Here is a 23,118-nt window from a genome sequence, read left to right as displayed (position 1 = left end):
GAGAATCTATTTTAATGTATTTGGTCAGAAACTTTATTGAAAGTATTTCAGGTGGGATATGTGTATATATATATATTGTGTGTGTGTGTGCAGAGCTATAAGAAACTGAGGGTAAATATAAATAGGCATATTTTGAGCTGAGTGCATGGGGGTGTGCAGTGGGGCGTTCACATTGATTATAAACTGCATCCAGGAGGTTTGTGACCCTGTAGCCACTGTAAATGTTCCATGGATAAAAGTTCGTTTAGTCTGCAATACTCTTTTCTCTGATTTGGCAACATTATTGTGACTGTGTGCTCTATGGTTGTTCTTGTTCTGAAATCTTAAATTGTAAATTGTAACACCCACCGTTTTTCTAAGTTATGATTCCTTTTGTCAGGTGTCTTCTGCTTCATTTCCTTTCCCACCATGACCAGTTTCCATTTTGTTCTTGCACATCATTGTTTTGATTCATGCCCCTTTTTACTTCTGTCCCACCTTCTCAGCAAAGCTCTAAAACTTGGATCAGTCTAAAAACTTGACTTCTTCCTTGCAACGTGGCTACCAAATTAAGTTAGAGAAAGTTTTATCTTTGGATTAATTTCATTCAAAATTCATGTTTCCTCTTAATTCTCTCAGTGCCCTCCCATGTTTAGCATATGACATTGCATTTTATTGAAATATTTGAGACCACCAGATAAGAACCCCTTTCTGTTTCCTCTTCTCTCACGTATGGGTTTTCTTCCACCTGCATCAGCCTCTTCTATGTGTTCTTTGAATTCCATCTTCACCTGTCTCCTGGGGGTTCTTGCTTCATTATTCCCTTCCTTGGCTATATCCTAAAGCCTTCCCTTTCTACTTCTGCTCAGCATGTGAACTCATTGCTTTCTACATCTCTTTTTTCCACAACCATGGTTGGAGTCTTTCAGGGAAGATTTGTGATTGACGGGGAAAATGATGATCATAGTGAAAAAACAATGGAAGTTTTGGATCATGGAGGAAATTGATAGTAGTTAGGGGGAAAGTGGAGTGATGCAGTCATTAAACCATGCTTCCATAACACCTGCCTTATTTCTTATGGCCCTTTCTTGTAGTAATTGACTTATCTTTCTTCTGTAGCTGTGTAAGCTTCTTGAAACAGTGATGTCTCGATTGACTTGTTCTTAACACTTAATTCATTATGTGACTGGGCGAGTTATTTATCCCATCCATACTTAAGTTTCCCCATACCTAAAGTGGGAGTAATGGTAATACCTATCTTAAAGAATTGTTAGTGAGGATTAAATGAGTAATTATAAAGAGCTTAGAACAGTGCCTTAGATATAATAATGCTATGTAAGTGGGAGACAGGTCAGTTATACACATTTTACATGTTGGCTGTATATTGAATGAACAAGCTGTTGCTTTTGCTAATTAGTCACCAATTCCTGATAGTTCTGGCTTTTATTCTGCATGCCACTACCTTTATTCCAGGCTCTCATCTATTCTTCATTCCTCTCCATTAAAATTATTCTTTGGTCTTTACAGTCTTCTCAGAAACCTACAGTCATTTCTAAATCTTATCCCTCCTACTTTGTCTGCCATTGAAGCTTCTTCAAATTTTCCCCAAAACTCTCTCTCCAGTTTCTTCTCACACTTTTCTGAATCAGTGACCTTCCATGCCATATCCCTGAACTACTCTGGGTTGTATTCCATGGAGGTGCTTTCCTACCTCCACACTTTTGTGTATGTATTCCCCTCAGCTTAGACTCTGTTTCCTTTATGTCACTACCATTTTTATTAATAAATCAGTTTGACCCCATTGTTTTTACCCTAAGGATATTGTGACTTGCTTAGGACATGACTTCTCCTCTACATTATTTCTGATGTAATTGTAAATACCGTTTTCAACAGATCGATAAAGAATTGGCTAGTGGTGAATACTTTTTGAAGGCAAATCAGAAGAAGCGGCAGAAAATGGAAGCAATAAAGGTACGGCACTTTATGTCTGGCTCACATGAATAGCAAAGTTCATAGATACTTGAATTATTTAACTATAAATACATTTAACTGATATATTTTTTATTTATTAATGTAGGCTAAACAAGCAGAAGCCATCAGTAAGAGACAAGAGGAAAGAAACAAAGCATTTATTCCACCTAAGGAAAAACCAATTGTGAAACCTAAGGAAGGTAATGCTTTCTATGATGTAAAAGTCTTTATTAATTAGGAAAAGTAAACCCATAATAAATTTGTCTGAATCTTTTTAAGAAACAGTTGTATCTTTTCATCAGTTCTCTTAGCATTTCATTAATTACTAATCCTAAGGACAAGGGATGGCTGAGATAATTTATAATTTAGAGGCAGCTAATGCCTATTTCAGTGCAAACTGGATTGACAGTCCTCTCCTGACCTCTGGTCTGTGCTTGGAAAAGACTCTTTGTTGTGAAAGATACAAACCCAGGGCAGCCAGTGCATCTTCTGTAGAAATGCAAGAAGATCCCTGAGCTCTGCTGTCATGCCTCTCAAAGAGGAATTATCAGAAGTTGTACTTTTTCTTCTCTTTATGTGATCTTGGCTTAGAGTTTGGCTTCTATATCGGTAACATGGATTTCTCATCACCTTAGACTAAAGGATGCTGACAGGTCTTATTCAGGAGCTATTAGTGCGAAAGTGATTGTGGTTTTTAAATGGCAGAAATCACTTTCGCACTAACCTAGTATTTAAAAGACACTAAGAGAAAACATTGTCATGCCATTTCTTCTGATGCATCCTCTTCTGCATTTTTTTCCCCTGTGGTAACACTTATCCTCTTCCTAAAGTAACCCTCCAAAGTGAACAGTGACACACTGAAGGGAGAGGGCTCACCAGCAATATTGTACATAGACTGGGTCAGAAACAGATATAATACATTATTATTTTAATATATTGCTTGTTAATAGCTTTAAAAATACTACATTCTATGGTAGATTATTGGTTATATAAAAGGTAGAAATGTCATAAGTATTATAATTTCCAGTCTGTAAAACCTGTCAGTTGAGTGCTTTGAAGGTACTCAATATACTCAATAGCTAGTTACCCTAATTTAGTTTCTCCACACGGTGGAGGCTTTAACACTCTGTGCTTCTCAGGTTGCTGGGTAGTTTGATGTTTTATCTTATGATTCTTTTATGCTGTGATCCTGTACTTTGAATGGTAAGAAAAAGTTGCATTCTTTTTCACTGCTTCCTTTCTCTATTTTGTTCACACTTTTGGCATTGATTAGATAGTTGGCTTCTATTAGGGGGACTTCCACACACTCTCAAATTATTGTCTTTATTACCAAAATGTTGTTAAATATACCAAAATCTTGTTAAAATACTATTAATTAGTCATTCATTGAATTAATATTCAATGAATTAATCTAACATTAAATGAATTAATTCATTGAATATTCAATTAATATTGAATTAATATTTGGAAAACTTTAAATTTTCGTTTTGATATTAGAGGAAGTAGATTTTGACCTCTAGCTTAGGGTTAGCTGATTAAACTTATTGAGAAGGGATACATGTAATTTTAAATTATTTTAATGTGCAAGATGGAAAATAATGACTCAGAAGTTCCAAAATATGGAAAAGAATGTAGGTAAAATAATTTAGTCTGAAGTAGGATTTAAGGAAATAGTCTTAATATAGTTGAATCCAGTAATTGGTTCAATTATGCCATTTATGCCATTTTTATGTATACTTGTACTAATATATAAAGTATTTTATGATTTGTTTTATCTTAATCTGAAGAAATTTCTAACTGCTTTAGGCAAGTGTTTTTATATTTTATACTGTGATCACCTTTCAATTATTCAATTATAAGAATACTCTGAAGTTAACTGCCTTAAACATATATTCTTTGTTAAACATATATTCTTTGTTTTACTTGGTAAAATCTAAAGTATTACATGTGTTGTGCTTTTAATTTGTCTAGCTTCTACTGAAACTAAAATTGATGTGGCCAGCATCAAGGAAAAGGTTAAGAAAGCAAAGAATAAGAAACTGGGAGCTCTTACAGCTGAAGAAATTGCACTTAAGATGGAGGCAGATGAAAAGAAAAAGAAGAAAAAAAAGTAACATACCCAAAACTCCTTGACTAGAACTATCTCCTTTTGTAAAGGATTTTGAGATATCAGGCATTAGTTGCCTTATTTGTGAGAAATTTTCTGAGGGCTTTTTTTTTTTTTGGTGGTGGTGGTTGTTCATAGAAGAGTGTTCTTTATAAATTATATTATTATTGTATTTTTTGAAAAATTTATACGAGAAAGTGGTATATAAGTCTTTGTATACATTACGACCATTGTGATTATCCATTAAATCCAGTGTCTGATGCTATTGGTTAGTAATGATGTCCCAGCATTTGATGTTCCCTCTCTAATGATAACAAGTAAATATTTAGGTTTATCCCTTTTGAAAGTTTGGTTTTACTTTTAACAGTCCATGAACAGAAAATTAAGGCCTCTAAAATCAGATCCCCTAGTTACTCCTCTGTTCTGAATCTGGGGAAGTAGTAAACCAAAAAGACAGGGAAAACCAGATATTTAGAGTCGAAGCAGCATGCAAAAAATAATAATGTTTTTAACTAATGAAGGCTACTGGAGTTACTAAGAATCACCTAAAAATGTGCTACTGTACCTTGCTCATTTTGCAGATTTAGAAGCTGAAACATGGGTTAGGTTACTTACTAAAAGTCCACCTGTGGCAACCTGCAAATAATGCTTATTTATACTAAAGATGAGTTTATCTGATAGAGTTAGGAAATTTCTTCTTTTGAGTAAGAGTATTGCTATAACATATATTTTTTTCTGAAATGTTTTAAAATAGAAGTACACCTAATTGTTATTGGTTAAAAAAAAAGCCATATGTGAATGAGGTTGGTTTTTGGGTTTTTTCTTTCCTGAATTGTATTAGTCCAAAAGAACTAAATTAGGGTACTTGTGCTGTACCAAAATGGTAATTATAACAGACAGTATTAGAATTACTGAATTAACAATGAGAAAGAGAGAAGTGTATCTGTTACGTGGATATATGGGCCAGCCTGGATATACAACAGAGTAGTAACCTGTGAAACAAACATAGAATATCCTCTTAGACATTGTTCCTCATAATGCACTGACAGAATTCACATAGCTCTTAATGAAACAATTTAAGATTGATGTACGTACGTTTGACTTGGTCTCGCTGTCGGTTAACTGTAAAGTTAGGGGGAAGAAAGAAAAAAAATTAAAAGGGTAGACACAGTTGAGAGTTTTATTTTAAAAAGCTAAGTCTTATAATTATGACCATTAACTTGCTTTGGCTTTATTGCAGTGACTTTCCAAGTTTAATTATTCAAAACTTTTTGAACTGACTGAATTAACTTGGTATTTTTAAGTTGACTTTTTACATAAACTTTATAAACCTTTTATAAAAAGGAAACTATACCATTACTATAAATGGAAAATCATTTTACACATCATACCTAGCAGGTAATAAAATTTAAAAAATAAAAATTAAATATTAGAATGTGAGAAATTTATTAAAATATAGTTCTAAAAATAAGTTTCTTCCTGAGAAGAATGATACTGTTTATGATGAATCCATAGTGAAAAGACAGTGACCTCTCTTTCATCCAGTCTAGTATATCACTAAATCATCATTACGATGTTTGGCTATCAAGTCATTAATTACTGTCCTCCTTTCACTGAGCTTTATTCAAATTTTGACAATCAGAGCACTGGGAAGAAATAAATTCCACAACTGCCTTTAGCCTTCTGGATACTTTCTTTTATAAAATAGAAACCTTTTCCACACCAGTTCTGCAGCAGTCGCTATTAGATGCTCGTGGTAGAACCCATCAATCATCTGGTCCTCTGGGTACTGGTGAGCATCCCTGGTCTTCATACCTGTGAGTGGGCTTTGTGGTGAATTACTGTAAATATGCTACCCTCACTTTTCTTGGCAGTTATGTCGATGAAATCAAGAGTGTGATGTTCTAGTTATTTTTTTTTATATATATTTTTAAATGTTCAATATTCAACTATTGAAACAAATGTACATCTGTGAACTAGCTAAAATCATCTTATGTACCACTAATATGCCCAGCACATTTTGTAAAACAGTCCTGATTTGGCCTCCAAGGGTATTTATTGAACTACCAGCAGTATCTAGGAGACCACGAAGGAATACCACGAAGGAATTTATGCTCCAGTGCTTGCCATAATTTGTCTGAGAAGGAATCTGTTAAATAAAAGCTTTTATCCTCTAACCTTTACCTTCATCAGACCTTATAAAAGGTCAAATGGTGATTCTTAAGTTTTTTAGTCACAAATCTTACTTATTCAGTATTAGTGCGAAGAGTAGAATACTTTCAAGTAAGCCTAAACTTACATGAAAACAAATTACATAAATCTAGCTCTGAGAATAGGAAATTAGTGACAAGATCAATCTGTAAGATGTTGAGCACTTATCTGAAGTAAATGGGTAATGAGTTTCACATCTTATAAATACAAGTTAGCATGTGTTTTCTCAAGAGTCCAAGGGTTTTCATTATTGGACTACAGCTTTAATCTTCTAAATGTTATTCCCCAAGATTAAAGAGCATCTCAAGTTAGATCACCAAAGATCAAAAGCTAAAACCAGAAGTATTTTTGTCATTGTGGTGGTGGTAGTGTTACTAATTGCCTAGATTTTTAAAGGGAAACATTTTTTTCACTGGGTTGTTTCGTTGAAAAAAATAGAAGCAGAAACTTGCCCAAAGTCACAGTGGTCAAACTGGAAATTGCACCAAAACTTGGCATACTGGTTCTGAAATCCATAGTTTTAGCCCTTATGTATACTGGTTAATTTGGAAGGAAGAAATATATACGTTCTGAAGTGAAGAGTGAGTGAAAGGAAGAATTCAGTGAATACATTGATACCTTGATATTATCTGCATTGTGGCTACATGTTACTTTTCTTCACAAGAGTGATATAAGTGAAATAAAGAATGATTGGACTGGGAGAAAAATGGCTCAGAAAACTTTGCAAAAGTACGACTGTATGTAAAGATAAGTATTCAACATTAAATGGGAAGGAGGAGAGCAAGCAGTTTAATATATAGAATTTTATAATTTTAGGCCTGCAAGGGACCTTATAAAACATGAGCAATGGAACACTTTTTTCCAAACTAAATTTCGTGCAGTGGAACTTGGCCGACTCTGTCCTTCCTCTATTCTAAGCACCCTACTCTAGCCCGGCTGCTCTGAGTTCAGTTTGTTACAAATATGGACACGAAAGTACCACAGGCTTTGCACAGCTTAATTGAAGTTTCCCCTTCACACCATGGTAAAAAAACATACTGGGATGGAAGGGTTTGTGTCTAGAACAAGAACAAGAAATAAACTCTTGGTCACTTACTAATATTTCAAAATCACAAAGCAGAATTTTGCTTGGATGTTTAGTAAAACATCCTTGGAAATTTAACTGCTTGCAGCTTCTACACTTCTTCATTAAATGCTGTCTGGCTAATAAAAAGTGCCATGTTGCAGCTTTATTTTATTTTCATTTTTTGGAGATAGACCCTCACTGTGTCACCCAGGCTGGAGTGCAGTGGTACAATCTCTGCTCACTGCAACCTCCACCTCCTGGGCTCAAGTGATTGTCCTGCCTCAGCCTCCTGAGTAGCTGGGGTTACGGGCGTCCACCACCACACCCAGCTAGTTTTTGTATTTTTAGTAGAGGGGGTTTTTGCCATGTTGGCCAGGCTGGGCATGGTGGCATGGTAATCTCAGCTACTTGGGAGGCTGAGGCAGGAGGATCGCCTGAACCCGTGAGATGGAGGTTGCAGTGAGCTGAGATCACACCACTGCACTCTAGCATGGGTGACAGAGCAAGACTCTGTCTCAAAAAAAAAAAACAAAAAAAAAAACGAAAACAGAATTCTGTTTGTTTGGATGACCTGTTATACTTATTTTTGATCTTGCTGAAATAAGCAAATCTTAGGAATCTTAGTCTACAGTTTCTGACAGTTTTTTTTGTTGTTGTTGTTTGACCAATTAGAACTAAATAAAAAGAACGTGATTTTCACATTTAAATTTCTCTTAAATGTATTCCTAGAACAGTAAGCCATTGGTTTAATTGCTACTTGATGCCAGTTTCCTTGAAGATAGCCGTTAAGATAAAACATGGTTTCATTGTTAATTCTGTAGAAAGTTACATGTTACTATTATGTTATTCTATTGGTGTATTGTTCCTTTTACTCACCACAGAGATTGTCCAAACACTTGTCATTATTGGGGCAGGCACTGCAGGTGGCTCCTCTCTTATATGGCCAAGTTGGGTAATTCCCTCTGTAAAGCAGAAGAAGGATGTCCATTAGAAGTTTTTCGGTTTTTTAAAATTGCAATTTACTATGAATCCTTAACTAAATCCAGAAGAATAGTGGAGTGAAGTACAAAGGTCCAGAGAGTTGGTAATAGAAGTGAAGACAGGAAGGCAGAAATGGAAGGCTGCTAATATTTGCATAGTTCATTCTATGTACCTGTGTCTATGCACCTGTTTTAATCTGCATCCCATTTAATTGTGACAGCTCTGAGAGGAAGTTATTCTTGTTTTACAGATGAGACAAAAGATGTAAGAGATACCTTTAATCACAATTTATACACTTCAGAGTCAGAGGAAACCTGGATTTAACTCCAGGGCTGTGCTCCCTCTCTTTACCTACCCTCTGGCCTATATGATTACTGCCATTTAAAAAACTGTCCATCTTAGAAAAGCTATGGTGACCCACATTCAATATTCTCAGTTGGTCAGCCCTCCATAATTTTCACTGGATAGGAGCCATTTGGCTGGTGCCTTCCAAAAAAATAATAAATAATGGTATGGGGGAATTTCTAAAGTACAAATTGTTTTCACATACAAGATGTGATATGAATAATAGCTGCTAATTAGTGAGCACTACCATGTGCTTGTCTTTGTTCTAAACAACCTTGAATGAAATAATCTTCACAAAAACCCTATGAGGAAGTTACTGTTGTCTATTTATACCCATTATATAGCTAGAGGCTGAGTCACAGAGTATAAGTAATTGACCAAGGTCACAGACTAGAAAGTGAAATAATATCCAAGCATTTTATATCCCCATAAATATCCTCATAGTAGTAATGGGGAGAGGGGGCACATTTATCTCAATGAACCTGCCATTGCACTAATTTTTTTTGGAACTCTGCTTTTGGAAAAAGTTCTAAACTTTTTTGTGTAATCGTACCCTTTGGCAGTCTGGTGAGGCCTATGGGCTCTTTCTCAACATAGTTTGTTGTTAAATGCATAAAATACATAGGATTATAAAGGAAACCAATTAAATTGAAATAGTTATCAAAATGTTTAAAACAAGATTTGTGATAAAGTAATATGTGCTTCTCTATTAAGATCTACCGGGGGCTATTAGTTTCAATGCAGTGATGAACACAAACTATATTTTGAGTTCTCTGCAGCAAGTGGAATGTGGTATGAAAATATCTGATATTTACAAAGATGATACTGCTAAGTCAGAGTCACGTTTATTGCTAATATGATGGTGGAGTGTTGTCTTCATTCATAATGAAAGGAAATGTTATTTTTAATAGAGGTTAGTGAAAATAAAAATAAAACTATTTTCTAATCAAAGTTTATGGTCCTCCTCTCCCCAGCACTCTACAATTACCTCCAAAGTTGAGAACTCTCACCTTAGACACACAACTTTATAACGATACCTTATTTCCAACCCCAAATCTATGTTCTTATCTCATTTTGCTCCAAATTTTAAGTTGCTTCAGAAATTTAATTAGCCCTCTGCTTACTCTACACCATGGAAAAAAGGTAATATAGTAGAAATTCTGATAGCAATTTCAAAAGATGTCCAAAATAGACATTAATCATTGGAATGTCTTTCATTGTTAATAAGCACAGTATTAAGTGGTTTAAGTTCTAGAATGATTTTAATAAAGTCATTTATGATACTTAGTTGTGCATTCCAAACTGTAAAGGAAAAGGTAAAAAATGCTACTTAAAAATAAGCTAAAAACCAAGACAGTCGGTGAGGTCTGTGGAAATGGTAGTATTCATCTTGGGAGAAACATGCTACTGGAAAGGCCTGGATTTGTCTAGATGGGAGTCATTAAGACTGTGGGACCTAAAGTATTCAGCACAATAAAGCAACAGGACATTTCAATGTTTTCCCTGGTAGCCTGAGAGAGAAGAGGGTTGGGGTTATGGGACCCAGGGGAAGACCGAAGACAAATCTTTAAAGAAAAAGATAAATATGGGTAAGGGTCCCTAAGGCAGTGACGGCCTAAGCACACTGGTACTATCTTGACTATCTTGTGGTCAAAGTTATTTCCTCTTCTGTGCTATAATCCTCTCCTCCACTAATCCACTCTGAGTAAAGATCTGTTACACACCATACCCTTGTTCATGGTGCCCAGGGGAAATGAAGAGGAGAGTATTACAGGCAACTGGAAGATTAAGCATCCCAGACCCCATTCTGAGGTATCAGAAATATTGAGGAGGATACTGGACTTCCTAAGATTATGTGGAATGGGGGCCTACAACTTTTTGTGTATAGGAAAATAATACCTCAGAGGGCAGAGGGCAAAGGGAAATGAGGACATTCCTAACTGGTCTCTCTGTTTTACCTTTTATGCTCCTCTAATCCATTTTCCATCCAGACTGATGTCCAAATTTAAAGGTCTCATCGCTCCCCTGCTTAATATACTTGAATGACTTCTTATGTAAACTTTGTCATGATCTAAAAGTTCCCGCTAGATCTGCAACTGCCTTCCTCCCCCCGTTTCATCTGTTTAGCAGACCGAGGGCACCAGTCTCTGTGGTTTAAACTTGCCAAACTTTTCTTCACGGAAGTTTTGCTGTTCTTTTCTCCACTAGACAGCTGTTCCAGAAGTTCTTATGTCTGATTCCTTCTCATTCTTCATGCCTAAGCTTAAATATAACACAAGAAGCCCTTCCCTGATTATTCTAAACAGGGGCCTTGCCTATTGATAGTTTCTATTACAGTATTATTTATAGTTCCTTAATTGCCCCATAATGATGCAGTTATTTTACTTGTATTTTTATTATCTGTTTGCCCCATAAATATTACTCTCATAAAGACAGAGACTGCCCTGTTCTCCTTTGGAGCTCAGTAAAACAAATATTTGTTGAATAAATGAATATTTGAAGTTAGTCTTTATGGAAGCATTATAACTTTGGTTGTAAGTTTTATAATTTAATATTGTTTATAACTCTGAAGATAAGTGAGTCTAAACCAGGAAAATTTACATTTATACTTTAATGAATAAAAATCATGAATACTTACAAAACATTCACTATTGCCAAGCATTATATATACCTAGTATTTTACAAAGCCTTCTCTTGTCACTTTCATAGCTACTCTAAGTGATGGGTCCTGTAACCCTGATCTATTGGAGGTTAAACTGAGATTCAGAGTTAACTTGTCCAGGGTCACACAGTAAATTAATTGTATCTTAACCATTAAAAATGTCATATGAGGCCGGGTGTAGTGGCTCATGCCTATAATCCCAGCACTCTGGGAGGCTGAGGCAGGTGGATCACTTTAGCCCAGGAGTTGGAGATGAGCCTGGGCAATATGGCAAAACTCTGTCTCTACAAAAAAATTAACTGGGCATGGTGGCATGTGCCTGTAGTCTCAGGTACTAGGAAGGCTGAGTTGGGAGGATTGCTTGAGCCTGGGAGGTTAAGCCTGCAGTGAACCGTAAGCGAGCCACTGTACTCCAGCCTGGGTGACAGAGTGAGAGACCCTGTCTCAAAAAAAAAAAAAAAAGTCATGAAAAGTTACCACTAACTGAATTATGGCTTTGTCTAGTTTTTTCTGGGTTTTCTTTATTTTCCAACTCTTAAGATATTAAGTCAAAGCTGTCATCTTCAGAATGACGCTTTGTCTCCTCCTTCACACCTACAGCACTCAGTCAGAGTATCGAGCATGTCTTCTGCACATTACACCAGGGAAATGGCTTTCTTTCAGCCAATCTCCAGGAATCCAAAAATTCAAAGGCAACAAATTAAAGATCATTATATATATTGCAAATGGTTAAAAACCTTTAAAATATAAAAACTTTTATAAATAAGAAAATCTAGTAGAAAAATGGTCAGCCCACATGATTCACAGAAAAAGGAATATAAATAGACAATTATGTGAAGAAATTTATAATTACTAGTAATCACAGAGATGCAAAAGAAAGCAAATGAAATGCCATTTCCATCAAATTAGAAAATACTAAGAAATTATAATACCTAGTACTGATGGTGAAATACAAATTGATATAATGGTGGAATGTAATTTGGCAATATGTACTTAAAACAAAAATGGTCACAGTCTTTACGTGCTAGTATCTCAAGGAATTATAGGGAAATAGAAGTGACTGAAGATACATATATGAGGTTGTTCATCATATATTAAATGAAAATATAGTGAACAATCTAAATTCTTCAACAGGATGGTGGTACCATCAAGAGCATGGACTCTGGAGCTAGACAGCCAGATCAAAGTCCATCAGTGATAGTCACTAACTGTAGAACTTTGGGCAGGTTGCTGACCCGTGTGTGCCTTGCTGTTCTCATTTGCCAAACAGGGGTAGTAATAGGAGCCATCTCATAAACTTCTGGTGAAGATTAAGTTAATATATGTGAAGCACTTTAACAGTGCTGAGAGCATTGTAAGCATTATATAAACAATCTATCATTTTTATGATTAAAATCACTTAAAATTTTGAAAAGGAAAATTTTTCACAGCATAATTTTAAGTGAAAAATAGAAAATGTATATTTTCAGTATGATCAGATTTCTAAATATGTGTATGACACAAGCACACATATGTAAGTTTAAAGAAAGTAGGAGGAAGGTGTTTGCCCTGTTTCCCAAAGTGGGAACTATATCTGTTTTAAAAACAACTGTCAAAAGTAAATGAAATAGGTTATATAAGTTGAGGAATCTGTTTTGCTTTGAAAATTGTGTAAAATTGCCAAGTTTCTAATAAACCAATAAATATAACATCAGTTCTTCCACTTTGTGGTATTACCATATACAATTTATGTCCCTGATGAATATTTTAGTCTTACCACTCTTAAAAATATGTGCGTATGTATTTAGGTAGTATATATAAAGGATGTACACACACACACACACCCTCTCTCTCTCCAAGAAAAATGTACCAGAATGTTAATTAAGTATATCTCTGGGCAGAAGAATTAAAGGTTATGTTAATTTTTTATTTATACTTTATCCAGATTTTCTATAATGAAGAGGAATACTGCTAAAATGTTTTTTTTTGTTGTTGTTTTTTTTTGCGGGGGGGGGGGGGCGTTTCCTATAAACCGGTTGATTCAGGCACTTACCCTGGTCCGTAGTTGCATATAAAATGTGCTCCATTGGAAAGAGCGTCAAAGCCAGAAACTTTAGGGCAAAATTGAACTGCGCAGCCAACTTTGTAACTATCTGCCCAAACAACCTGAAAGGAAATAAGGATTTTTAACAGAGAAAAACCATAAGATAAACATTGGGTATGATTAGGTCTTCATAAACATGGTGAGGTATACCACTCTAGTTAGAGTGCTTAAAACCCAGGAAGGTTTAGATACTCAGAAATCAGCTGGATAGACCTGTAGTTACCATTATTGGGGTGTGTGTGTGTGTGTGTGTGTGTGTGTGTGTGTGTGTGAAATAAGATAATTTTTGACAGTACAATGAAGAAATAAAACGGTAATGCAATAGGGAGTGATTGCTGGCAAGGTGATGCTGATTTTACTTGGGTGTTCAGAGGAAGCATTTGAACTGAGACTTGGACGACGAGGATGCAGCACTCAGGACAAACATTCAGGAAACTTAAACAATGGAGGAAGAGCATTCCAAGCAGAGGGAACACCAGGGAGAAAGGCCCTGAGATGGAATTTGCTTGGCATTATAGATTGGCAGGAAGAAAGCAAGTGAAGCCAAGATCTGATGAGTTGGAGAGAGTTGTAAGCAGTGAGGTCAAAGGCAGAGAAACCGATCAGGGAGATTCTTGTGAGTGCTATGTTCTTTTTCATGTCTTAGGTCACGAAGTGAACGGACTGAGAAGAGCAAGGGGAACAGGAAGCAGGTAATTTTGGAGGCTGTTTCAGTGGTACAAGAATGAAAAGATAGTGACTCACACGTGGGTGATGCCAGTGGAGCTCCCAAGAATGAATCAGGTTCATGGCTCAGCTTAGAGGTAAAGTTAAAAGGATTTTGAGTGTAGGGTAAGAGGGGAAGAGATAAAGTTTTGGTTTGGGGCCTGAGAAACATTTACTGAGATGGAGAAAACTAGGGAAGGAGGAGGGTAGGTGGGAGCGTGGGCAGGGGTTTTGTTCAGAATATGTTGATTTTGAGAGGCCTATTAGATATCAAGTGAAGATTAACTTGGTGGCTGCAGTCCAGAGGACAGGGTAAGGCTAGAGATGTAAATCTGGAAGACATGGAGCAAGATTAGATCACACAGGCAAATATAATAGATCAAGTAAATGAGAGTCTGGAATAATGAAAGCAAACACAAAACCAGCCTGCAAAACAGACTGAAGGAGTGGTCAGTGATGTAGGAGGGAAACCAAGAACAGAGAGACCTGCGCTGTTACATGGGATCCAGCACTCAAAAGAGCCCCATGCTTGGTTTAGATCAGTGCTGTCACATATTTTAGCACCTTTAGTGGTGCTTTTCTTTTGCTTTCTGAACAAAAGATTCCACATCATTTTGCAATGGGCTCCACAAATTCAATTATATAGCCCATCTTGACCAAGAGTGTTTGGTGTCACAAAAGCCTAAAGAAGAGAGTATTTAAAGGTGGATACAGCCAGCAATTAAATGCACTCATTTTTACAGCAGTACCAAATTACATTTTAAATTATTTTTTACTCATAAGTTTTTGAGCAATTTTGTCATAAGAACTGTGCCAAATACATTCAAAATTGAGTGAGCTAGAACCAGTGGGTACATTCACAAAACTTAGAAAAAAAGCAGTCATGAAACTCATCAGGTGAGGGTTTGACCACTGTGAATAGGCAGTGGAAGATGCTAAGGGCATATATGGCATGGTGCCTTTCTCTGAAGAAATGAGGTGGAGCTGGAGCTGGGATGAGCTGGTCTGGAGTCTTCCAGCAGAGGGCAACATCCTGTGTGATCCCTGGGTGGGACTGACCCATTCACAGAACTCAAAGAAAAGCCAGTGTGGCTGCAGAAAATGAAGAAGTTTACTTTAAAAATAAATGAAATTTACTCCCTGTATCAGGTGTTTGAACTAGAGCAACTCCATCTTGGTGTTGTGTTTTTTTGTTGTGGTTTTGTTTTTTTGTTTGTTTGTTTTTGAGACGGAGTTTTGCTCTTGTTGCCCAGGCTGGAGTGCAATGGTGCAATCTCGGCTTATTGCAACCTCCGCCTCCCAGGTTCAAGCGATTCTCCTGCCTCAGGCTCCCAAGTAGCTGGAATTACAGGCATGTGCCACCATGCCCGGCTAATTTTGTATTTTTAGTAGAGATGGGGTTTCACTATGTTGGTCAGGCTGGTCTCAAACTACTGACCTCAGGTGATCTGCCTGCCTCGGCCTCCCAAAGTGCTGGGATTACAGGCGTGAGCCACCATGCCCGGCCCTAACAACTCCGTCTCGAATAGGGGCTGGGTAAAATGAGGCTGAGACCTACTGGGCTGCATTCCCAGACGGTTAGGCATTCTAAGTCACAGGGGAGATAGGAGTTTGGCACAAGATACAGGTCAAAGACCTTGCGGATAAAACAGGTTGCAGTAAGGAAGCCAGCTAAAACCCACCAAAACCAAGATGGCGATGAGTGTGACTCTGGTGTCCTCACTGCTGCACTCCCACCATGACAGTTTACAAATGCCGTGGCAACGTCAGGAAGTTACCCTGTATCGTCTAAAAAGGGAGGGCATGAATAATCTGCCCCTTGTTTAACATATCATCAAGAAATAACCATAAAAATGGGCAACCAGCAGCCCTCAGGACTGCTCTGTCTATGGAGTAGCCATTCTTTTATTTCTTTTCTTTCTTAATAAACTTGCCTTCACTTTACGGACTCACCCTGGATTTTCTCGCGCGAGATTCAAGAACCCTCTCTTGGGGTTTGGATCCCGACCCCTTTCCTGTGACACCTGGAGGGAGAGTAGGAAGTGAGGCAAGAGGGGAGCTGAGGTTGGAGTCTCAGCTTCTCCAAGATTTAAAGGTGTGGTAGAAGTGGGGACGTGACTAGGGAGATGATGGGCAGAGTGTGGGCTGCCTTCTCCTTGGTTTGGCAACTGGAGAGGGTACCCTCCTTTGGCAAGGGCGAGTGTACTTCCCTACTCCATGATCTAAAAGGGGTGCTCCCTAGAAACATTTCTTTATCCCCAGGAACCCCCTGCGGGGAACTCCAGCCTGAACAGGCAATGAATCAGCTTAGGCCTCTGTCTCACTGCGAAAGCCCAGTTTTATAAGGGTTGTTAATCCTCAGGTTTGATCCTTAAACTTCTACTTTCTAATCAGTTTTGTTTTATTTTTAAAATTTCTTAATTTTATTCTATATCTCAAGTGATTTTATGTGGGGTCCTTTGTTTAAAATGATCTTGGGCCTGTCCCAGACCTACTGAATGCCAGTCACTGGAGTTGCTTTTGGGGTCTGCATTTTAACAAGTTCCTCAGGTAATTCCTATGCATGCTGTGTTCAGTGTTGTCTTTATTCCTTTATTGTCACCTTGGCTCATTTTATATTTTTATCCTTTGGTCTTCCAGCACTTTCTTCTGTAGCGTTGTTATATCAAAAGTATTCTTAATCTTTGGATCCCTTCCCCATTTTAATACTTTTTCCTCAGAAGTGTGCAAATGTTAGTTACCATTCATTTTGTGTGTTTTAGTTGGCCTCTTTTTTTAAAAGTCAGGTTTATTAGGGTATAATAAAGATACAATAACATTTATGATTTTTAGATGTACATTTCTATGAATTTTGACAAAAGAATACAGTTGTGTAGCCACTACCACATTCAAGATATAGAATATTTTTATCGCCCCAGAAAGTTCCCTTGAGCCCCTTTGTGGTCAACCCCCACCAGACCCCAGCAGTCATTAATCTGTTTCTGTAGTTTTGCCTTTTCCAGAATGTTATATGAATGGAATCAGTCTAAATATAGCTTTTTGAATCTGGCTTCTTTCACTTAGTATAGGCATTTGTTGTATTCATTTGTAGTCACTGCTTTTTATTGCTGAGTAATATTTATTACGTGGATGTAGCACAGTTTATCTATCCAAGTCAGTCTCTTTTTAAAAGCTTCATGGGCACTCTGGTTTTTGGTTAAACTTGTGGGCTTTGGAGCCACAAGGCTTGAGTTCATATTCAAGCTTTGCCACTTACAGTGTGACCTTGGTCTTAGGTTCCTTATCTATTAAATGAGGATAATAACAATACCAACTCCATAGGCCTATTTTGAAGTTTTAAATGAGCTTCTGGAACATAGCAAGCACTCAGCAAATATTCTTGTTTCATTCCCTTACCACTAAGTTTCTTAGGCTTAAAAATTCTTAACACTTTAATTTTTTTTTTTATCAGGCAGGTTTCTGTTGTATGTTTTCTTACTGTAGTAAACAAAAAACCATAATTATAAGCGCTACTCATTTTTGAGAACTTAGGTGTATCATTAAGCATTTTACATGTGACATCATGTTTAATCCTTATAAAGTGTTATTGCTCTTCCTTTTGTAGGTAAAAGATTGGAACCTAATTCTGCCTGGCCATGAAGTACTGTGAGGACAGTCCATGCCCTCAGCAAGATGCTTTTAGAGTGTTTTCTCTTTTAGCAAGCTCTTCAGAACCAGGAACCACTCTTTATACCTTTCTTACAAAAGCACTGCACCTGGGGAACCCAGAGGGAAGGAAGATGTCTCCCTTATAGGCCCACAACCCCTTCCTACCATCTTTCCCTTTCAATTCTCGGTATGAGCTCTTCTGGTTCATTATCGGGAGTATGGTAACATTGTAACATATATGAAACCTACTACAGAAATTGTGAAACAGGTCACATTTCCATGGTTCTATGCGAGTATAAAAATAAAGCTGGCCGAGGCGGGCGGATCACGAGGTCAGGAGATCGAGACCATCCCGGCTAAAACGGTGAAACCCCATCTCTACTAAAAATACAAAAAATTAGCCGGGCGTAGTGGCGGGCGCCTGTAGTCCCAGCTACTTGGGAGGCTGAGGCAGGAGAATGGCGTGAACCCGGGAGGCGGAGCTTGCAGTGAGCCGAGATCCCGCCACTGCACTCCAGCCTGGGCGACAGAGCGAGACTCCGTCTCAAAAAAATAAATAAATAAATAAATAAATAAATAAAATAAAGCTGTCAAGAGGGTGAGAGGAGGAGGCAGGAAGAGAAAAACTAAAATAAGATCAGTAGCGCCATCTAGTGAGAAATCCTAGCACTATCAAATCCAAGTAATCCTCTACCCTGCCCAGATACTTTAATTAAACTATTTCTAAACTTTATAAAGCTGAACTGTCAGCAACAGAATGTCGAATTTGAGTCATCTTCCATTTTATACACCAACATTTTTTCTCAATGCCAGTCTATCTCCAGTGAAGACAAAGCTAAAGTGTTGAATGAATACATCAAGAAATATCATACATTTTGTGAGGAGTTAATGGGCCTGAATCTATTTTCTTTATTCTGTACAACCTCCCATCATCAGCCAAAATCTGCAAATAGCTCGATTTTTGAAGAGAAGATGAGGATAAGTAGGAGGTTGTAATATCCACTTAAAGTAACTGTTCAGCATGAATTTAACACAGCAATTGAGTAGTTTTGAGTCCCCCAGGAAGATTTCTTGTCATGATGAAAACAGTCTTTCACCTAGCTATCAGATCCTTCTTCCATTATGATTGTTGGAAAACCAGCTTATGTAAGGATCTACCCTTTGTTCAATGCCTACTAAATACTAGTATTTTATTAGGTAATGTATACATATTTTATTTGTCAGGCCTCTGAGCCCAAGCTAAGCCATCATATCTCCTGTGACCTGCACGTATACATCCAGATGGCCTGAAGTAACTGAGGAATCACAAAAGAAGTGAAAATGCCCTGTTCCTGCCTTAACTGATGACATTACCTTGTGAAATTCCTTCTCCTGGCTCATCCTGGCTCAAAAGCTCCCCCACTGAGCACCTTGTGACTCCCACCCCTGCCAGCCAGAGAACAACCCCCTTTGACTGTAATTTTCCATTACCCAAATCCTATAAAACAGCTCCACCCCATCTCCCTTCATTGACTCTCTTTTTGAACTCAGCCTGCCTGTACCCAGGTGATAAAAAGCTTTATTGCTCACACAAAGACTGTTTGGTGGTCTCTTCACAAGGACGCAAGTGAAATTATTATTTAAGCCTTCCAACATATCTAATATCTGAACCTCAACTCTTCATCTTACTAGCTAAATGACATCAGGGGAACAACTTATTAACCTCTCTAAGTCTGTTTATTCACCTGTGGGTAATACCATTAACATCTCCTTAATAGATTTGTGGTAATAATTGAATGAGGTCTTCAGTGTAGAGAGCTAAACACTATGCCCATTTAAAAAGTGATTGCTGCTGCTCTATCTTCCCAGCCCAGGGGGTTCTTGGACATTCTCCCCGTGATGAGTGCCCCTCTTCTGAAGTGGGGGTAGAATGTAGTGGTTTCTTAAAGAGGATCACTCATGTTAGGATCACTGAGCTTGGGTTTTAATATCTGTATGTATGGGACTGGGTTTTAGAAAATGAATTTTCTCATGACCAAAATATTAGTCCTCCTTTTTTCCCTTAGATGTAAGGGGAAATTTTACAAGTAAGCTCAGTTAATTTTGGGAGGGCCATCTGTGAAATCTCAGGCATTTATGGCATAAACTCAAATGTTCTCTTCTTTCGATTTCCTGGAATGGTGAACATGGAGTGTCTTAACTTGTGTATTGAGCATGGTTTAGGAGTCTGTTGTCAATTTTACAGTCTTTTGACCTCTATATATTTGGCATGCTGAGCTTCTTGCCATTGATCTAAAGTACCAGGCCCATTCATACACATTGTATACTTTCCACACCTTGCTGAGAATTCTCTTCCCTTTCCTTTTCATCTGAAAAATTCCCACTCAGTTTTCAAGTACCAATTCACATGTCTCCAGCAGTGTGAAGCTTTACACTTCCTTTTGGCCGGATAAGTTGCTCATTCTGTCCTCCTTGCTCACATGGCACTTTGTCAGCTTCTCTAAATTGTACTAGCCAAACACTGTCATAATCCATTTACACATAAGTCTCTCCCAAAAGGTCAATTTCTGAGGGCCAGGGACCATTTCCAGCTGTATTTCTCCTCCTTCCCTGGCTCATTCCCTATTTCTCCTCACTTCCGCTTCTCCAAGATTGTATCCCAATAAAATGTTAGCTCATAAACTATTGTCTCAGGCTCTGTTTTCCAAGAATCTGGACTAAGACATATCACTAGTGCCTGTTATAGGGTAAAAGCTTAAACACTGACTAATAAATAAATGAAAGTAGGCACCCTCAAACTGACAATTATTTCTGAGTATTTAAATACCGCAATGCATAACAGTACAAGTACCACTTGTAGGCTATCTAGATTTAGCTTTCTACTCCCCTAGGTCTTGTTGGAATCCAAGGAAACTTATTTCCTGGTTAAATTTATTTGTAAATGTAAACCAAAATTGTTAGTTTATGAAGTAAATTTAGGAGAAATTCATTTTACTCTTATAATAATTTTTTGTAACTGCACCAAACTTGGTTCATCTGTAGCACCACGAATGAGATCACAGGCTTTGTAAGGCTGAGCTGGAGTAAGGGAGGTTTTCTTACACCATGTTGTTCCTTAAAACCACCTAATGTTTCAATGTAACTGCCTTGATAGAAACGTTTTTGCCTTCATACCTCATTTCAACTGATTTTTTGTGCCCCAAAACAGTCAATTATAGGTTAAGTACCGTACGTTATTGGTTTGACAAGGATGGCCAGGAAGTGACAGTAAATAAACAAAATGTAGCCAGGACAGGAAGGCAGCGTCTGAAGACAATTATGACAGATGCTCCCTAGAGAGTTGTTTCCATCATGCTGCAAATGTGAGGTAGGGTTAGGGAGCCAGAATCAGCTTGAGTAAAAATTAAAAAAAAAAAAAAAAACTCAATGGGTGGCTCTGAATGTGGCTATTGGGACTAATAATATGGATTCTGGGGGCAGAATACCCTCAGAATGGTTCATATAAGTTTACACGTTGGCCTCTCTGTTGGCCTGGGACTGACTTTTTCTCCCTCCTTGTGTAGCACCGTGCGTGGTGCCTAGTGCATGGCACACAGTAGGTTTTCAGTCGATGTTTGAGAGAATGAGAGGTTGTGGAAGCATCAGTTCTTATTGATGTTTCTGTCTGAGAGTCTTGTTTCTTCCAATTTTATAGTCCCAAAACAATTGGCTCAAATTTCATTTAAAACTCATGCTACAGCTGGAACCTGAAAATCCTTTCACTCATAAGGTTCTTTGATTTCTCACAAATGGAATAAAGTCCTATGGGAGAATAGCTGTTACAGGAATTGTTCAAAGCCTGTCCAAGTTGGTGGGCCTCACATATTACCTATTATGTGTTTAGTTCACACAACTAAACTTTTCAAGCATTATTTTCTGTTCTTGGAGGCTGTTCTATTTAACTCCCTTATATTTACAGGTATACTAGCATACTATACATTTTCTTAACTTCATAGTACAATTTTTCTCCTCATACTTGAAAAGACAGTTTCAAGATAATATAGGGCAGATCCTTACCTGAGTGTAGTGGCCACAGACTTTTTTGCATATCCGAGTCTTGAAGTCATAGTCCTGGATTTCGTCATACCAGTTTGTGATGGCGGAAGACACAGAAAAAATGGGCACAGACCCAGTCCAGATGTTCTCTCCCAGTGAAGTGAAGTTTGGGTGCAGCTTGTGGGGTGGCTTCAGCCGTGTATTATGTGAAAACTGGCAATTGCTGGCCCATGCTTTTGCAATTTGGGCTAGTGCTGGGTCCCAAGTCTGCAAAAATAAACATTAAACAATAGGGGGTTCATCTGAAATGTAACTGGGGTGAGTACAGTGGGAATTTGAATGGAAAACGAGGTGAGATAAGGAGAGAAGATACCACTGCATATGAGTCCTCTATAAATATGGTCTTCAAGCACTGAGTAGGGCTGGTAGGAAACGTGACAATTTAGTTTCATGGAATTTAGAATCTAAGTGAGGAAAACTGACATTTCACTGAAGGCTAATTGTGGGCAAAATAGTGTGTGCCGTGTTTCACAACATTATTCCATAACCACAACAGCCCATATCCTAAGAAGTTCAGAAAGGTTAAAAACCAGCTTAAAGCCACAGATCTGAAATTCAATCCCAAGCCTTACTGAATCAAAATCCCATCCTTTCCCCAGATGCCATTCTGCCTACCTGAGCAACTCAGTACTTTGTCAGCAGCAAAAAAAGTAAATTTAGAGACAAAAAAAAAAAAAAAAAAAGAAAACCAAATCACAAAAATTAACAGGGAGGAAGATAACAAAAAGAGAAGTAAAATCCACTGAAAACCAGAAAACAGGAAGTGTCCAAAGAGAAGTAAAATGTGCTGTGGCACTTGCTTATAACAACAGTTGGGTAGACAGAGCTAAACTGGATGTGTTTTGATCACAGACTGTGAATTTACTGCATACATTAATCACAATGAAAAAAAAATCATTCAGTATTACGAAGGTATTAACACCAAAGTCAATACACATTAGTTGTTTCTGACTGACTGACGCCACAATTAATGATATTTTCCTTACCATGTATAGCATATCACTGGCTGTTGGTTTCACCTCTGATCGGAACTTGTTATGGATTCGAACGCAGTCTTTGATGAAATCTTCATTTTCGATATCTGGCAAAATATTTGCTGTGTGTGAATAATTGGAGACAAAAGAAACCATCCAGGCTATTGTAGCAAGTGTGACACGCATGCTTTGTCTGGCATGGAGCCTTGGGAGGCTGCAGTCCAGAGCCGCCGCAGTTTCTGAGAGTGTGATTGCCTGAGTGCTCAGCCCACAGCTTTGCAAACCTAGCCGACTTCAGCTTTGAGAAAACAG

At 37.7% G+C, this 23,118-nt stretch overlaps 2 protein-coding genes and 1 long non-coding RNA gene across 5 annotated transcripts in view, besides 4 other annotated features; 2 read left to right on the top strand and 1 right to left on the bottom strand.

Moving 5' to 3' along the window:
- Window positions 1-13,010, top strand: part of KRR1 (KRR1 small subunit processome component) — a 20,747-nt gene extending 7,737 nt beyond the window's left edge. For both annotated transcript variants that reach the window (NM_007043.7, XM_047428133.1), the window contains exons 8-10: window positions 1,873-1,950; window positions 2,057-2,150; window positions 3,922-13,010. In NM_007043.7, the coding sequence (NP_008974.5) occupies window positions 1,873-1,950; window positions 2,057-2,150; window positions 3,922-4,064 (315 nt within the window). In that variant the 3' untranslated portion in view covers window positions 4,065-13,010. The remainder of the gene's footprint in view (window positions 1-1,872; window positions 1,951-2,056; window positions 2,151-3,921) is intronic.
- GLIPR1 (GLI pathogenesis related 1) lies at window positions 10-23,118 on the bottom strand. Of its 2 annotated transcripts, NM_006851.3 has the most exons (6): window positions 22,819-23,118; window positions 21,794-22,039; window positions 13,355-13,467; window positions 8,211-8,296; window positions 5,153-5,179; window positions 10-5,049 (listed from the first exon to the last, which is right to left on the bottom strand). In NM_006851.3, exons 1-6 carry the CDS (start codon window positions 22,990-22,992, stop codon window positions 4,895-4,897), a joined length of 801 nt encoding a protein of 266 aa, NP_006842.2. In that variant the 5' UTR covers window positions 22,993-23,118; the 3' UTR covers window positions 10-4,894. The 2 variants fall into 2 exon arrangements, with proteins under 2 accessions (NP_006842.2, XP_047284087.1); XM_047428131.1 differs by lacking the exons at window positions 10-5,049; window positions 5,153-5,179; window positions 8,211-8,296; window positions 13,355-13,467 and adding an exon at window positions 14,093-16,134.
- Window positions 14,052-20,419, top strand: GLIPR1-AS1 (GLIPR1 antisense RNA 1). The gene is made up of 2 exons (XR_007063373.1): window positions 14,052-14,097; window positions 17,715-20,419. It is a non-coding gene; the product is annotated as a GLIPR1 antisense RNA 1 (long non-coding RNA).
- Window positions 15,731-16,230: an enhancer, noted in NCBI's record as "H3K27ac hESC enhancer chr12:75881423-75881922 (GRCh37/hg19 assembly coordinates)". NCBI's record gives its function as "activates a minimal SCP1, AML or CMV promoter by ChIP-STARR-seq in naive H9 embryonic stem cells {active_cell/tissue: H9 hESC(naive)}" and the evidence as "EXISTENCE:reporter gene assay evidence [ECO:0000049][PMID:30033119]".
- Window positions 16,231-16,732: an enhancer, noted in NCBI's record as "H3K27ac hESC enhancer chr12:75880921-75881422 (GRCh37/hg19 assembly coordinates)". NCBI's record gives its function as "activates a minimal SCP1, AML or CMV promoter by ChIP-STARR-seq in naive H9 embryonic stem cells {active_cell/tissue: H9 hESC(naive)}" and the evidence as "EXISTENCE:reporter gene assay evidence [ECO:0000049][PMID:30033119]".
- Window positions 18,324-18,493: a silencer, noted in NCBI's record as "silent region_4662". NCBI's record gives its function as "represses an Ori minimal core promoter by ATAC-STARR-seq in GM12878 lymphoblastoid cells {active_cell/tissue: GM12878}" and the evidence as "EXISTENCE:reporter gene assay evidence [ECO:0000049][PMID:35858748]".
- Window positions 20,801-20,850: an enhancer, noted in NCBI's record as "active region_6669". NCBI's record gives its function as "activates an Ori minimal core promoter by ATAC-STARR-seq in GM12878 lymphoblastoid cells {active_cell/tissue: GM12878}" and the evidence as "EXISTENCE:reporter gene assay evidence [ECO:0000049][PMID:35858748]".

This window comes from Homo sapiens, chromosome 12, assembly GCF_000001405.40.
Source record: "Homo sapiens chromosome 12, GRCh38.p14 Primary Assembly".
Lineage (NCBI taxonomy): Eukaryota > Metazoa > Chordata > Mammalia > Primates > Hominidae > Homo > Homo sapiens.
The sequence above is the reverse complement of the archived record's forward strand: the minus strand, read 5'-3'. Positions and strand labels throughout refer to the sequence as shown.